This window comes from Homo sapiens, chromosome Y, assembly GCF_000001405.40.
Source record: "Homo sapiens chromosome Y, GRCh38.p14 Primary Assembly".
Lineage (NCBI taxonomy): Eukaryota > Metazoa > Chordata > Mammalia > Primates > Hominidae > Homo > Homo sapiens.
Genome location: NC_000024.10, coordinates 7,506,216 through 7,521,022, shown reverse-complemented (window position 1 = coordinate 7,521,022; position 14,807 = coordinate 7,506,216). Strand labels below are relative to the sequence as shown.

Here is a 14,807-nt window from a genome sequence, read left to right as displayed (position 1 = left end):
ATTTCTAAGTATATAGGTATATATACTTGTATGTTTATATGCTATATAAGTGTATATACATATATTTACAAATACATATATATTTGCACATTTAGACATGAGTATTTGTAAGTATATGTGTATATATACTTAAGATAATGTATCAATATATTCTGAAATACATATGTTTACATAGATACATATTTACACATGTATATTTGCACATAAACATGTACATATGTTAATACTTACATGTTTATATACTTATATAAATATATTTGCATGCATATTTATAAATATGTATGTACACACATTATACACATATATGTATTTGTCCATATGTATGTACATGTGTGTTTATACTGATATATTCATGTAAGTATACATACATGTAATTTACAAATACATAAGTACATATACATATATACCCATATATTTACAAATACACTTGATTATTTCAAAAATCCCATTGTTCTTTATTATTTATTATTTTAATTAACAAATTTAAACGATATACATTTATGGGATACAACGTGATGTTTTGATATATGCACACACGGTGGAACAGCTACATCAAGCTAAGAAATATATCCGTCACATTTCATACTTATCATTCAAGAGGAAGGGTGGAAATCTTTACAAGGTGTTCCTTTAGCAATCCCCAAATGTACCATGCATTGTTATTAACTATCATCCCCATGTTGTATAACAGATCTCCTGAACTTATTCTTCCTGTGTTCCTTGCACATCTCCCCTTTTTAACATTTCATCCCCAGAAGACTTTGTCTGTTTTCATTGTGATCTCAGCATCTTTTCATGCTTCAGTTCCTTCCAAATTAGGGGATTCACCTTCTCCTGCAGACTGCTGTCCAATCAGCTGACATTCTCTGGGGACACACCAGCCCATTGCTGAGGCTGTGGATGGGAATTCATTGTGAGATATTTTGCTGTGTGTAGATGGGCTCTGCAAGGTTACAAGAAACAAAGTCAATAAAAGGGTTCAAGGCTCACATGTTTTTCATGTTTGAAAAGCCAAGTTCAAATTTTTTTGATTTTTTTAATTGATGTATAATGATTAAATTGGATTATTTGGGGTATCCATCATGTGTAGTATTTTTAATTTCTTTTCTTTTTTTTTTTCTTTCAGATAGTGTCTCACTTTGTTGCCCAGGCTGGAGTGCAGTGGTGCAGTCATAGCTCACTGCAGCCTCTACCTCCTGGGCTCAAGTGATCCTCTTGCCTCAGCCTCCTAAGTAGCTGGAACTGCAGGTGTGCACCACCACACCCAGCTAATTAAAAAAAATGTGTAGAGATGAGGGTCTTGCTATGTTGCTCAAGTTGGTCTTGAACTCCTAAGCTCAAGGGATCCTCCCCCAACAGCTTCTCAAAAGGCTGGGATTACAGGTGTGGGCCACTGGGCCCAGCCCTATGTTGGTAACATGTCATCTCTTTTCCTAGCTACTTTGAAATACACAATACATTATTACTAACTATAGTCACCCCACTCTGCAAGACAGGTGGTTCTTGTTTTTACTCTTATGTAGTAGCTTTAAAAATTGACCTCATCATGGGAGGATCACCTAAGCCTTGGAGAAGTGAAGGGTTGCAGTGAGCAGTGATCATCCCACTGCCCTCCAGCCTGGGTGACAGAGCAAGATCCTGTCTCAAAAAAAAAAAAAAAAAAAAAATAGAAGAAAGAAAGAAAAAGAGAAAGAAAGAAAAGAAAAAAAATGACCCCATGGAGATAGAGAGCAATATGACAGATGTCAGAGGCTAGAAAGGGCATGTGGGTAGGAGGAAGGATAAACAAAGATTGGTGAGTATAAGCCCCAATGTTTGAATAAAAAATTCTTAGAATTATCCCAATTCCAGGAATTGGTGGAAAAGGGGTAAAACGTCACCATTCTACCAGTGCTTGGATGTGCACCTGTGCTGAACCATGAGAGACCAAGCTCAGGCACTTTGGTTGAGCTTGGCCAGAGGGATAGCTCTTACCTAGCATTTGCAGATATAACCCCAGTTGTGTTCCAGCAAACTGCCCAGACATCTGCAGACCTTACTGTTCTGGATCCTGACTTCTTTCCATTTCCCCTCTGGGCCGGACCTGTTGCAAATATGCAGGATGGACCCGAAGAAAAATGTCACTGAATTGAGAAGTGATCCTTCAAATACAAAGCAACCTCTCCAGTAGGAATGTTGTGCTGATTCATGAACATCTCTGAGTTATTAGAGCATCAGAAAATCTGCACTAAAATTCATCTGTCCTCCTCAGGAATGAAAGTGAAGGGCCAATGCTTTCATTTGACTTCTCCAGAAATGAGCTAAGCAATGGCATGGCCCAGGCTGTGACAACTGTCACATGGAGAATGGTGGCAGCCTGAGGGATACATAGAGAAGCTAAATGTGGAGTGGGGATATTCCTGAAGACAGAGCCAGCCCTAAGGCACATACCCCAGACATGAGCAATTCACACCAAAGAAAGGGCTCCAGCATGCAGGTGGCTTTAGAATGAATCCGTAAGCACATGGTTGGTGCCAGCCCCTTTGGTGACATCATATCCATGCTTCTCCTGCACATTCTGTGTTTGCTGCTGCTGCAGATCCCACTCACCAAACAGATCCACATTCAAGTGAACATATGAGGCCCCCACACCCTCCACCCCTTCAAGACTGGAGCTCTTACTCCAAAGACATTGAACACCCCTGGTCCCAGCTAATTTCCACTGCTGCATCTTGCACAACCCAAGAGGTGTAAGCCAAGCCTTGATTATGGAATCTAAGAGGGAAGACAAGCTCTTCATGATAACCTGCCTACCACCACCAGCTCTAGGTCCACAGGGCTTGTGGCCCATAAGGTAATGGAGCTCATGAGTGTGTTGTACCTTGGGGGTGTTTTGCTGCCTTGCATGTCAAGCTCTGTAGCCTTCCAGATCCCCTTGTTCTCTGACTGATAAAGGGAAAAGGAAGCGATTGAACATTCCTGCAGTGATATTGCTACAGTCTGAATGTCTGTGTCCTCTTCCAAATGCACATGTTGCAATTGAATCCTGTGATGGTTAATAGTGAGTGTCAACTTGATTGGATTGAAGGATGCAAACCATTGTTCTGGGTGTGACTGTGAGGGCATCGCCAAAAGAGATTAATATTTGAGTCAGTGGACTGGGAGAGCAGACTCACCCTCAATCTGGGTGGGCACAATTTAATCAGCTGCCAGCACAGCCGGAATAAAAGCAGGCAGAGGAACAAGGAAAGACTAGACTGGCTGAGTCTTCCAGCCTCCATCTTTCTATGGTACTGGATGCTACCTGCCCTCAAACATCAGACTCCAAGTTCTTCAGCTTTTGGACTCCTGGACTTACACGAGTGGTTTGCCAGGCACTTTCAGGCCTTTGGGAACAGACTCAAGGCTGCACCATTGGCTACCTACTTTTGGGGGTTTTGGGACTCGAACTGGCTCTTTTGCTCCTCCGCTTGCAGATGGCCTTTTGTGGGACTTCACCTTGTGATCATGTAAGTCAACACTTTTTAATAAACTCCTTTCATAACCACATCTATCTGTCCCTCTAGAGAATCCTGACTAATACAAATCTGCAATATGATAGTACAGAAAGGTGAAGCCTACGAGAAAGGGTTAAATCATGAGGACTCCAGCCTTATGAATGGGATTAGTGCCCTTATAAAAGAGACTCCCTTCCACAGTGTAAAGATGCAGCAAGAAAGCACAATCTTGGAAGCAGAGAGTGAGTCCTCACCAGACACTAAATTTGCCATGCCTTGACCTTGGACTTCCAGCCTCCAGAGCTGTGAGCAATAAATGCCTGTTGTTTGTAAGCCACTCAGGCTGTATTAGTCTGCTCTCATGCTGCTAATAAAGGCATACCCAAAACTAGGTAATTTATGAAGGAAAGAGGTTTAATTGACTCAAAGCTCCACATGGCTGAGGAGGCCTCACAATCATGATGAAAGATCAAGGGATATCTTACTTGGCCACAGACAAGAAGTAAGATTGAACAGGGAAACTCCTCCTTAGAAAACTATCAGAAGTTGTGAGACTTATTCACTACCATGAGAACAGCACAGGAAAGAACCAGCCACATGATTCAATTACCTCCTGCCCCACCGACTCCTTCCCATGACACCTGGGAATTGTGGGAGCTCCAATTCAAGATGAGAGTTGGGTGGGGACACAGCCAAACCATATTATAGGCTAAGGCCTTTTGTTGTAGCAGCCCAAACTAAGACAGATATCAAACCCAAAGTCAATGCCATCCCCTATAAGCACAAGTGTTGGAGCAATCTCTTGCAAACATTTATCTGAGCTCAGCTGGCTCTGAGAAGTGGGATTTTTTGCCTCATTCATTGGGTCCTAAAGCCTGTCATCAAGCATGGCAGTGTATGTGGTTATATTGGAAGGACAACATGGTAGATCTTGTGGTGATGGAAATGTTCTGTCCCTTGACTGTACCGAGGTCAATATCCTGGTGTGAGATTGTACTGTAGTTTTATCAGAGCCCTTCAAACCAGAGTGACTTTATCTTGAATAGGGGCTGGGTAACACGATGCTGAGACATGCTGGGCTGCATTCCCAGGTTAGGCTTTCTTAATCACAGGATGAGATAGGAGGTCGGCACAAGATACAGGTCATAAAGACCTTGCTGATAAAACAGTTTGTGGTAAAGAAGCCAGCCAAAACACACTAAAACCAAGATGGTGACAAGAGTGACTTCTGATTGTCCTCACTGCTCATTATACACTAATTATAATGCATTAGCTGCTAAAAGCCACTTCCACTAGCACCACGAGAGTTTACAGATGCCATGGCAACGTCTGGAAGTTACCCTGTATGGTCTAAAAAGGGGAGAAACCCTCAGTTCTGGGAATTGCCCACCCCTTTCCCAGAAAACTCATGAATAATCCACCCCTTGCTTACCATATAATAAGGAAATAACCATAAAAGTAGCCAACCAGCAGCCCTCGGGGCTGCTCCGCCTATGGAATACCCATTCTTTTATTCTTTCACTTTCTTAATCAACTTGCTGTCATTTTATGGATTTGTCTTGAATTCTTTCTTGCACAAGATCCAAGAATCCTCTCTTGGGGGTCTGGATTGAGACTCCTTTTTGGTAACAGTTTTGCAAGACATTACCCCTGGGGGAAAAGTAAAGAGTACAAGGGATCTCCCTGTGTTATTTCATTTTCTTTTTCTTCCCTTTTTTTTTTTTTTTTTTTTTTTTGAGACAGGGTTTCACTCTGTTGCCCAGACTGGAGTGCAGTGGTATGATCTCAGCTCACCACAACCCCATCTCCCAGGCTCAAGTGATTCTCCTGCCTCAGCCTCCCAAGTAGCTGGGATTGCAGGAACCTGCCATCACAATCAGGTAATTTTTTTGTGTTTTTAGTAGAGATGTGGTTTCACCACCTTGGCCAGGTTTGTCTCAAACTCTTGACTTCAAATAATCCACCAGCTGTGGCCTCCCAAATCCCTGTGTTATTTCTTACAACTGTGTGTGAATCTAAAACTATCTCAAATTTAAATGGTTAATTTCTCTAAAGTTCTTAAAAGTTTCAAAGATTAAAGAAATGTATGGATCAGTTCCCTGAACATTTGTCTCAATATACACAAAGATATTCTACATTTTTTCCCTCTACAAATGCTGGCTTTCAAGCCAACCATCTTAAAAAGGGTTCAAACCAAAAACCATGATAATAATTCAAGAGTCAAAGCAGAAGAATGTTGCTTTTTTCTAAGTAAGTGTCCATCCATCTCTTGAAGCTGTGGAATTCTTTGCCTTCATGCATTCTAAGCCCTGAGCGAAAGAGCATTCACAGGGTATGAAAAAATATCTGAATATATTTCTATATAAAGTAATTATCAGCACAAATATGTGTGATGCAACATCCCTGTGGTCAAACACTTCTCAGTCTTCATTGAGTAGAGAACACACAACTAATTAAGCTGGAAATCACAAGACAATGTGATCTGAGCAATGCTGGTGTTATGTCCTGGAGATTTTAGAGTTCTTTTAGGAATTATCTCACATTGGCCTTTGATCAACAGAAAAGAGAGAGATGGCTGAGAAATGCCTACGGAACACAATTTAGGATAAGTATGATCTTGAATGGTGATTAAAGACATAATTGCACAAGTTTTTGGTATAGAGTATTCCATGCATTAATGGTGAATATGTCATCATCATAAAAATATTGATTCCCTGTGACAGATGGTGCAGATGAGGAGTAATTTGTGGCCCTCCCTCTCTGCTGTTAAGCATCCTTTAGTAATTAACTTGATAGGGACCATGATACTCAATCCCTGTCATGGATGTTAACTCTGGAATAATGTACAGGCTTTGCAAGTATTCTCTTCAATGCTAGAAGATTTAGCATATGCAATGCATTTTTTCTAGAAAATGATTCTTTTTTTTTTTGAGAAAGAGTCTCGCTCTGTCACCCAGGCTGAAGAGCAGTGGCATGATCTTGGTTCACTGCAAGAGTTGCCTCCCAGGTTCCTGCCATTCTCCTGCCTCAGCCTCCTGAGTAGCTGGGACTACAGGCACCCACCACCACATCAGGCTAATTTTTTGTATTTTTAGTAGAATGGGTTTTCACCATGTTAGCCAAGATGGTCTCGATCTCCTGACCTCGTGATCCACCTGCCTTGGCCACCCAAAGTTCTGGGATTACAGGCATGAGCCACCATGCCCAGCCAAGAACGATTCTTTGTATGCACACGTGTATGGTTTTGTTTTGTTTTGTTTTGTTTTGTTTGGGTCAGCTATGACTCTTTGTCCTTCCAGCAGAGTAGAAAACCACACCAATTTGCTGTGGTTTAAATATTTAAATATGTTCTTGAAATATTTTCAGAATCTTCCCTCTTCCCATGAAAGTGACATATATGTCACTTCACTCATGAAATGCTCCCCTTAAAGAATGGATTCCAGACATTCTGAGGTGAGGGGTTCTCCTTTCAAGGAAAATGTTTACAAAGCACTTAATGTCAACTCAGCCTCCACGACCGTAGTTTTTTTTTATACTTTAAGTTCTGGGGTACATGTGCAGAATGTGCAGTTTTCTTACGTAGTTATACATGTGCCACAGCAGTTTGCTGCACCCATCAACCTGTCACCTACTATCCTTCCCTTAGCTCCCAACCCCAAAACAGGCCCCTATGTGTGATGTTCCCTTCCCTGTGTCCATGTGTTCTCATTGTTCAACTTCCACTTATGAGTGAAAACATGCAGTGTTTGGTTTTCTGTTCTTGTGTTAGTTAGCTGAGAACAATGGTTTCCAGCTTCATCCATGTCCCTGCAAAGGACATGAACTCATCATTTTTTGTGGCTGTGTAGTATTCCATGGTGTATATATGCCACATTTTGTTTCTCCAATCTATCATTGATGGACATTTGGGTTGGTTCCAAATCTTTGCTATTGTGAAGAGTGCTGCAATAAACATATGGGTGCATGTGTCTTTATAGTGTCTTTATAGTAGAATGATTTATAATCCTTTGGGTATATACCCAGGAATGATATTGCTGGGTCAAATGGTATTTCTAGTTCTAGATCCTTGAGGAATCACCACACGTCTTCCACAATGATTGAACTAATTTATACTCCCACCAACAGTGTAAAAGCATTCCTATTTCTCCACATGCTCTCCAGCATCTGTTGTTTCCTGACTTTTTTTTTTTGAGATGGAGTCTCATGCTGTCACCCAGGCTGGAGTGCAGTGGCACAATCTTGACTCACTGCAAGCTCCACCTCCCAGGTTCCATTACCCAGGTTCCATTCCCCAGGTTCCATACGCCATCCCGCTTACCATTCCCCTGCCTCAGCCTCCCGAGTAGACAGGACTACAGGAGCCTGCAACCATGTCCAGCTAATTTTTTGTATTTTTAGTAGAGATGGGGTTTCACTGAAGAGGCCAGCTTGGTTGGGGAGACCCTAACCTAGCAGCACTAGAGGAATTAAAGACACACACACAGAAATATAGAGGTGTAACATGGGAAATCAGAAGTCTCACAGCCTTCAGAGCTGAGAGCCCCAAACAGAGATTTACCCACGTATTTATTAACAGCAAGCCAGTCATTAGCATTGTTTCTATAGATATTCAATTAACTAAAAGTATCCCTTATGGGAAACAAAGGGATGGGCTGAAATAAAGGGATGGGTCTAGCTAGTTATCTGCAGCAGGAACATGCCCTTAAGGTACAGATAGCTCATGCTATTGTTTTTGGTTTAAGAATGTCTTTAAGCAGTGTTCCACCCTGGGTGGGCCAGGTGTTCCTTGCCCTAATTCCAGTAAACCCACAATCTTCTGGCATGAGTGTAATGACCATCATGAGCATGTCAGAGTGCTGCAAAGATTTTGTTTATGGCCAGTTTTGGGGCCCGTTTATAGCCAGATTTTGGGGGGCCTCTTCCCTACATTCACTGCATTAGGCAGGATGGTCTCAATCTCCTGACCTCATGATACACCTGCCTAGGCCTCTCAAAGTGCTGGGATTACAGGCATGAGCCACCACACCTGGCCATTTTCTGACTTTTTAATGATTGCCATTCTAACTAGCATGAGATGGTATCTCATCGTGGTTTTGATTTGCATTTCTCTAATGGCCAGTGATGATAACCTTTCTTTCAAATGTTTGTTGGTTGCGTAAATGTTTTCATTAGAGAAGAGTCTGTTCATATGTTTTGCCAACTTTTTGATGGGGTCTTTTTTTTTTCTTGTAAATTTGTTTAAGTTCTTTGTAGTTTCTGGATATTAGCCTTTTGTCAGGTGGATAGATTGCAGAATTATTCTCCCATTCTTTAGGTTTCCTGTTCACTCTGATGATTGTTTTCTTTTTCTGTGCAGAATTCCTTAGTTTAATTAGATCCCATTTGTTGCAATTGTTTTGGTGTTTTAATCATAAACCCTTTGCCCATGCCTATGTCCTGAACTGTATTGCTTAGGTTTTCTTTTAGGATTTTTATTCCTTTAGGTCTTACATTTAAGTCTTTAATTCATCTTGAGTTAATTTTTGTATAAGGTGTAAGGAAGGGGTCCAGTTTCAGTTTTCTGCATATGGCTAGCCAGTTTTCCCAACACCATTTATTAAATAGGGAATCCTTTCCCCATTGCTTCTTTGTGTCAGCCTTGTCAAAGATCAAGAGGGTTTTTTGAAAAGATCAAAAAAATAGATACATTGCTAGCCAGACTAATAAAGAAGACAAGAGACAGGAATCAAATAAACACAATAAAAAATGATAAAGGGGATATCCTCACCACTAATGCCACAGAAATACAAACTACAATCAGAGAATACTATAAACACCTCTACACAAATAAACTAGAAAATCTACAAGAATTGGATAAATTCCTGGACACATGCAGCCTTCCAAGTCTAAACCAGGAAGAAGCTGAATCCCTGAATAGACCAATAACAAGATCTGAAAATGAGGTAGTAATTAATAGCCTACCAATCAAAAAAAAAAAGTCCAGGATCAGACGGATTCACAGCTGAATTCTACCAGAGGTACAAAAAGGAGCTGGTACTATTCCTTCTGAAACTTTTCCAAACAATAGAAAAAAGGACATCCTCCCTAACTCATTTTATGAGGCCAGCATCATCCTGATACTAAAACCTGGCAGAGACACAACAAAAAAAGACAATTTCAGGCCAGAATCCCTGATGAACAATAATGCAAAAAATCCTTAATAAACTACTGGCAAACTGAATCCAGGAGCATATCAAAAAGCATATTCATCATGATGAGGTCAGCTTCATCTCTGGGATGTAAGGCTGGTTCAACATACACAAATCAAGAAATGTAATTCGTCACCTAAACAGAACCAATGACAAAAACTGCATAATAATCTCAATAGAAGCGGAAAAGGCCTTTGACAAAAATTCAACAGCCCTTCATGCTAAAAGCTCTCAATAAACTAGGTATCAATGGAATGTATCTCAAAATCATAAGAGCTGTTTATGACAAACCCACAGCCAATATCATACTGAATGGGCAAAAACTGGAAGGATTCCCTTTGCAAACCCCCACACGACAAGGATGCCCTCTCTCACAACTCCTATTTGACATAGTATTGGAACTTCTGGCTAGGGCAATCAGGAAAAGAAATAAATAAATCATATTCAAGTAGGAAAAGAGGAAGTCAAATTATCTCTGTTTGCAGATGACATGATTGTATGTTTAGAAAACCCCATCATCTCAGCCCAAAATCTCCTTAAGCTGATGAGCAACTTCAGAAAGTCTCAGGATACAACATCAATGTGCAAAAATCACAAGCACTCCTATACATCAATAACAAACAGAGAGCCAAATCATGAGTTAATTCCCATTCACAATTTCTACAGAGAATAAAATACCTAGGAATCCAACTTGTAAGGGTTGGGAAGGACCTCTTCAAGGAGAACTACGAACCACTGTTCGAGAAAATAAGAGAGGATGAAAACAAATGGAAAAACATTCCATATTCATGGATAGGAACAATCAATATCGTGAAAATGGCCATATTGCCCAAAGTAATTTATAGATTCAATGCTACCCTCATCGAGCTACCATGGGCTTTCTTCACAGAATTGGAAAAAACTACTTTAAAGTTCATATGGAACCAAAAAAGAGCCCACATAGCCAAGAAAATCCTAAGCAAAAAGAACAAAGCTGGAGGCATCATGCTACCTGACTTCAAATTATACTACAAGGGTACTGTAACCAAAACAGCATGGTACTGATACCAAAACAAATATAGAGACCAATGGAACAGAACAGAAGCCTCAGAAATAACACCACACATCTATGATCACAGATTTTTAATAAAGCTGGGTTAAGTGTGTTCACTGGTGGAATCATGTGGTTGAGGGAATTGGGAGCAGAGAAATATGCAACTAGAGAATCATTAACTCAGTGGCAACTGGAGCATATTTTCAAGCAGCGGAAAATTATATAACAACACATTTTTCAAAAATATGTCAACAAAAACTGTCAAACTCTGGAAAATTATTTGAAGAGATTTATTTTGAGCACACATGACCATGACCCATAACACAGCCCTCAGGATCTCCTGAGATCATGTGCCCAAGGTGATTGGGGCACAACTTGGTTTTATACATTTTAGGGAGAAATGAGACTTTGGTCAAATACATTTAAGGTTGTACCCAGAGAGGTGGGACAACTTGATTCAGGCTGGGAGTCAGGGGGCTAGGATTCAGGTTATAGATGGATTTAATGTTTTTCTGACTGGCAATTGGTTGAGTTTATCTAAAGACCTGGGGTCAATAGAAAGGAAATATCTAGATTAAGATAGGGGATGAGAGACTGAAGTTCTATCATGCAGATGAAGCCCCCAGGTAGCAGGCTTCAGAGAGAATAGATTGTAAATGTTTCTTATCAGAAGTAAGGTCTGTTTTGATGTTAATGATGGAGGGCTCTAATGAGGCACGTGCAACTCCACTTTTCATCATGGCTTGAACCAATCTTCCAGGTTAAATTTTATTTTAATTAATTAATTTATTTATTTATTTTGAGATGTTGTATCACTCTGTTGCCCAGGCTGGAGTGCAATGGCATGATCTTGGCTCACTGCAACCTCCACCTTCCAGGTTCAAGCGATTCTCCTGCTTCAGCTTCCTCAGTAGCTTGGATTACAGGCACCATACACCTGGCTAATTTTTGTATTTTCAGTAGAAATAGGGTTTCATCATGTTGGCCAGACTGGTCTTGAACTCCTGACCTCAAGTGATCCATCCGCCTTAGCCTCCCAAAGTGCTGGGATTACAGGCTTGAGCCACCGCACCCAGCCTGGGTTACATTTTAAAGTGCCCTGGAGGAGAAAGTCCATTCAGTTCTTAGGGGAGCCTTAGAACTGTATTTTTGGTTTACAAATGCCACACTAAAGTTTTAGCAACAACAGTGATAGAATTAAAGATCTGTCAATTATGATAACCTTGTGGTTTTCCTCTGGGACATGCACCATCTATAGGAGTTTTAATTTCCACATGGTGTCTTTATTGCTCAGAATTGCTGGCATCCTAACTTGGGAACTTGTTTCAGGATGAACACTCCTAACAAGAGCAGGACTGTCTATAGTTTCTTGAAAATTTTATTTTTCCACCCAGTCTCTGTGCTGACCTCTCTACTTTCCCCTTGGTCTCTGTGCCATTTGTCTGATGCATACCCTAAAAAATTAGATGTTATGGGGTCTGGCTAATTATCACCCATCCCAACTTTTCATAAAATTTTTAGCTCCAATACATAAAAAATAAAAACTAAAATAAAGGCATCATTTGAATTATCAGATTCTAACTTGTATAAACACATTGCCAATCATTATCTGTTATTAAGTAAGTAAAGATCTATGCCTCATATCTAAGAGACTGTCAAGAGCTAATTTTTTGGCTGGGAACCATGGATCGCACCTATAATCCCAGCAATTTGGGAGGCTGAGGTGGGAGGATTGCTTGAGCCCAGGAGTCCAAGACCAGTCTGGGCAACAAGACAACACCCAGTCTCTACTAAAAATACAGAAATTAGCTTGGCATGGTGTTGTGCACCTGTAGTCCCAGCCACTCGGGAGGCTGAGGTGGGAGGATCGCTTGAGCCTGGGAGGTCGAGGCTGCAGTGAGCTGTGACTGCACCACTGCACTCCAATCTGGGTGACAGACTGAGACCCTCATCTTAAAAAACAAAAATAAGAAACTGATTTTTCTACCAATTCTGAGGCATTTGAACTTATATAATGATAATAAAACCCTCTTGGTCTCAATTTCCTCGTCTGGACCAGATCATCTCTAAAGCTTTTTCCAACTGTAGTGACACGTGTATAGTTCTATTACTTAATTTCCGAGCATAAGAGGAACTCTAAATGGATTTTTTCCCTGTCTTTAATCCGCTTACTCTGTAAACATTTTTCAACTTTGAATTTTGAAATCATGATAGACTCAACAGTGCTGCAAAAGAGTATAAGGCATTCCCTCTCATGTGTTTTTTAAAAAATAATGTAATATTTATTGGAGAGAGATGAACTAATATGTAAATTACTGAAATTAGCTGGTAATGTACTTTGTCTTTGGAAATGTTTTATTGTTTCATTTATACTCCTATCCCCCAAATCCCATAATGTATCACCTTGCATTATTGATCAAGAAGATCAACTTCAATTGATAAGTAAGATTGGCTATTATGTAACAATAGCAGCAAATAATTGTGTTCAAATGTGGGTTTGTACGTAGAAAAATTGATAGGGCTAGAGATTTAGGTTTACAAGTTATCCTGTTAGAGGCGATATTGAAGTCATTTTGGAAGGAAACATTGTGAAGTAAGCCATTTACGGAAGATGGGAAAAAAAGGTGATTAAAGTCAGGAATGCTTTTATGAGCAATAAGTACTAAAAGCAAATTAGGGAAACAGTATTAAGAAGCATTCCATGACATGATTTTTAGTAAAATAGAGAATAGTTAACTTTTGGGTATAAATCTATTGATAAATACTATAAAAGCAAAAAGAGGCTTAAAGAAAGACCAGTCAGATTTGGTGGCTTATGCCTATAATCCCAGCATGTTGGGAGGCTGAGACAGGAGGATCACTTGAGTTTAGGAGTTCAAGACCAGCCTGGGCAACATAGCAAGACTGCCATCTCTGCAATAAAATTTAAAAAAAAAAATAGCCAGGCATGATGGTGTACTCCTGTAGTCCCAGCTACCTGGGGAGTGGGGCTGAGATGGGAGGATCACTTCAGCCCAGAAGGTTGAGGATGCAGTGAGCCCTGATCATGCCACTGCAACCCAGCCTGGGTGACAGAGAAAGACCCTGTCTCAAAAGAAAAAAAAAAAGAAAAAAAAAGAAAAGAAAGATCAACTAACACCTCATAGGAAGAAAACATGATGAAATCATAGGATGGAAAAATGGAAGCTGACACATGCATCCATGTGAAGAGACCACCAAACAGGATTTATGTGAGCAGTAAGGCTGTTTATTTCACCTGGGTACAGGTGGGCTGAGTCCGAAAAAGTAGTCATCAAAGGGTGGTGGGATTGTCATTAGTTCTTACAGGTTTTGGGAAGGGCAGTGGAATTAAAAGCAATGTTTTGCTGGCAGGGAGTGGATCTCACAATTCTCAAGGGTGGGGAGAATTATAAAGAAACTTCTTAAGGGTGGGGGAGATGACAAAGTACATTGATCAGTTAGGGTGGAGCCAAAACAAATCACAATGGTGGAATATCATCAGTTAAGGCTATTTTCACTTCTTTTGTGGATCTTCAGTTGCTTCAGGCCATCTGGATGTATAGTGCCAGTCACAGGGGATATGATGGCTTAGCCTGGGCTCAGAGGCCTGACATTCCTGTCTTCTTATATTAATAAGAAAAATAACAAAATAGTGGTAAAGTGTTAGGGTGGTGAAAATGTTGGGGCGCGGTATGGAGAGATAATGGGTGATATTTCTCAGGGCTACTTTGAGCAGGATTAGGGATGGCATGGGAACCTAGAGTGGGAGAGATTAAACTGAAGAAAGATTTTCAGGTAAGGGGTGATATTGTGGGATTGTTAGAAGAAGCCTTTGTTGTATAAAATGATTGGTGATGGCCTGGATGCCGTTTTGTGTGAATTGAGAAACTAAAAGGAAAACACAAGGTTCAAATAAGAGAAGGAGAAAAACAGGTATTAAAGGACTAAGAATTGGGAGGGCCCAGGACATCCAATTAGAGAGTGCCCAAGGGGATTCTGCATAATTATTTGGTTGGTTTGCAAGTTTTTGGGCTCTATCCTTGAGTTTTTTTATGTTGTCATATACCAGGCCAGATTGATTTAGGTAAAAACAACTCTCTTCATTTAAAA

General features: G+C 40.4%; 1 long non-coding RNA gene across 1 annotated transcript in view; it reads right to left on the bottom strand.

Moving 5' to 3' along the window:
• Positions 1-431: 431 nt before the first annotated feature.
• LOC107987338 (uncharacterized) overlaps positions 432-14,807 on the bottom strand; it is a 61,978-nt gene continuing 47,602 nt past the window's right edge. Inside the window, exons 3-4 of the long non-coding RNA XR_001756055.2 lie at positions 1,975-2,083; positions 432-943 (exon numbers count right to left, since the gene is read on the bottom strand). This is a non-coding gene — a long non-coding RNA (uncharacterized LOC107987338). The remainder of the gene's footprint in view (positions 944-1,974; positions 2,084-14,807) is intronic.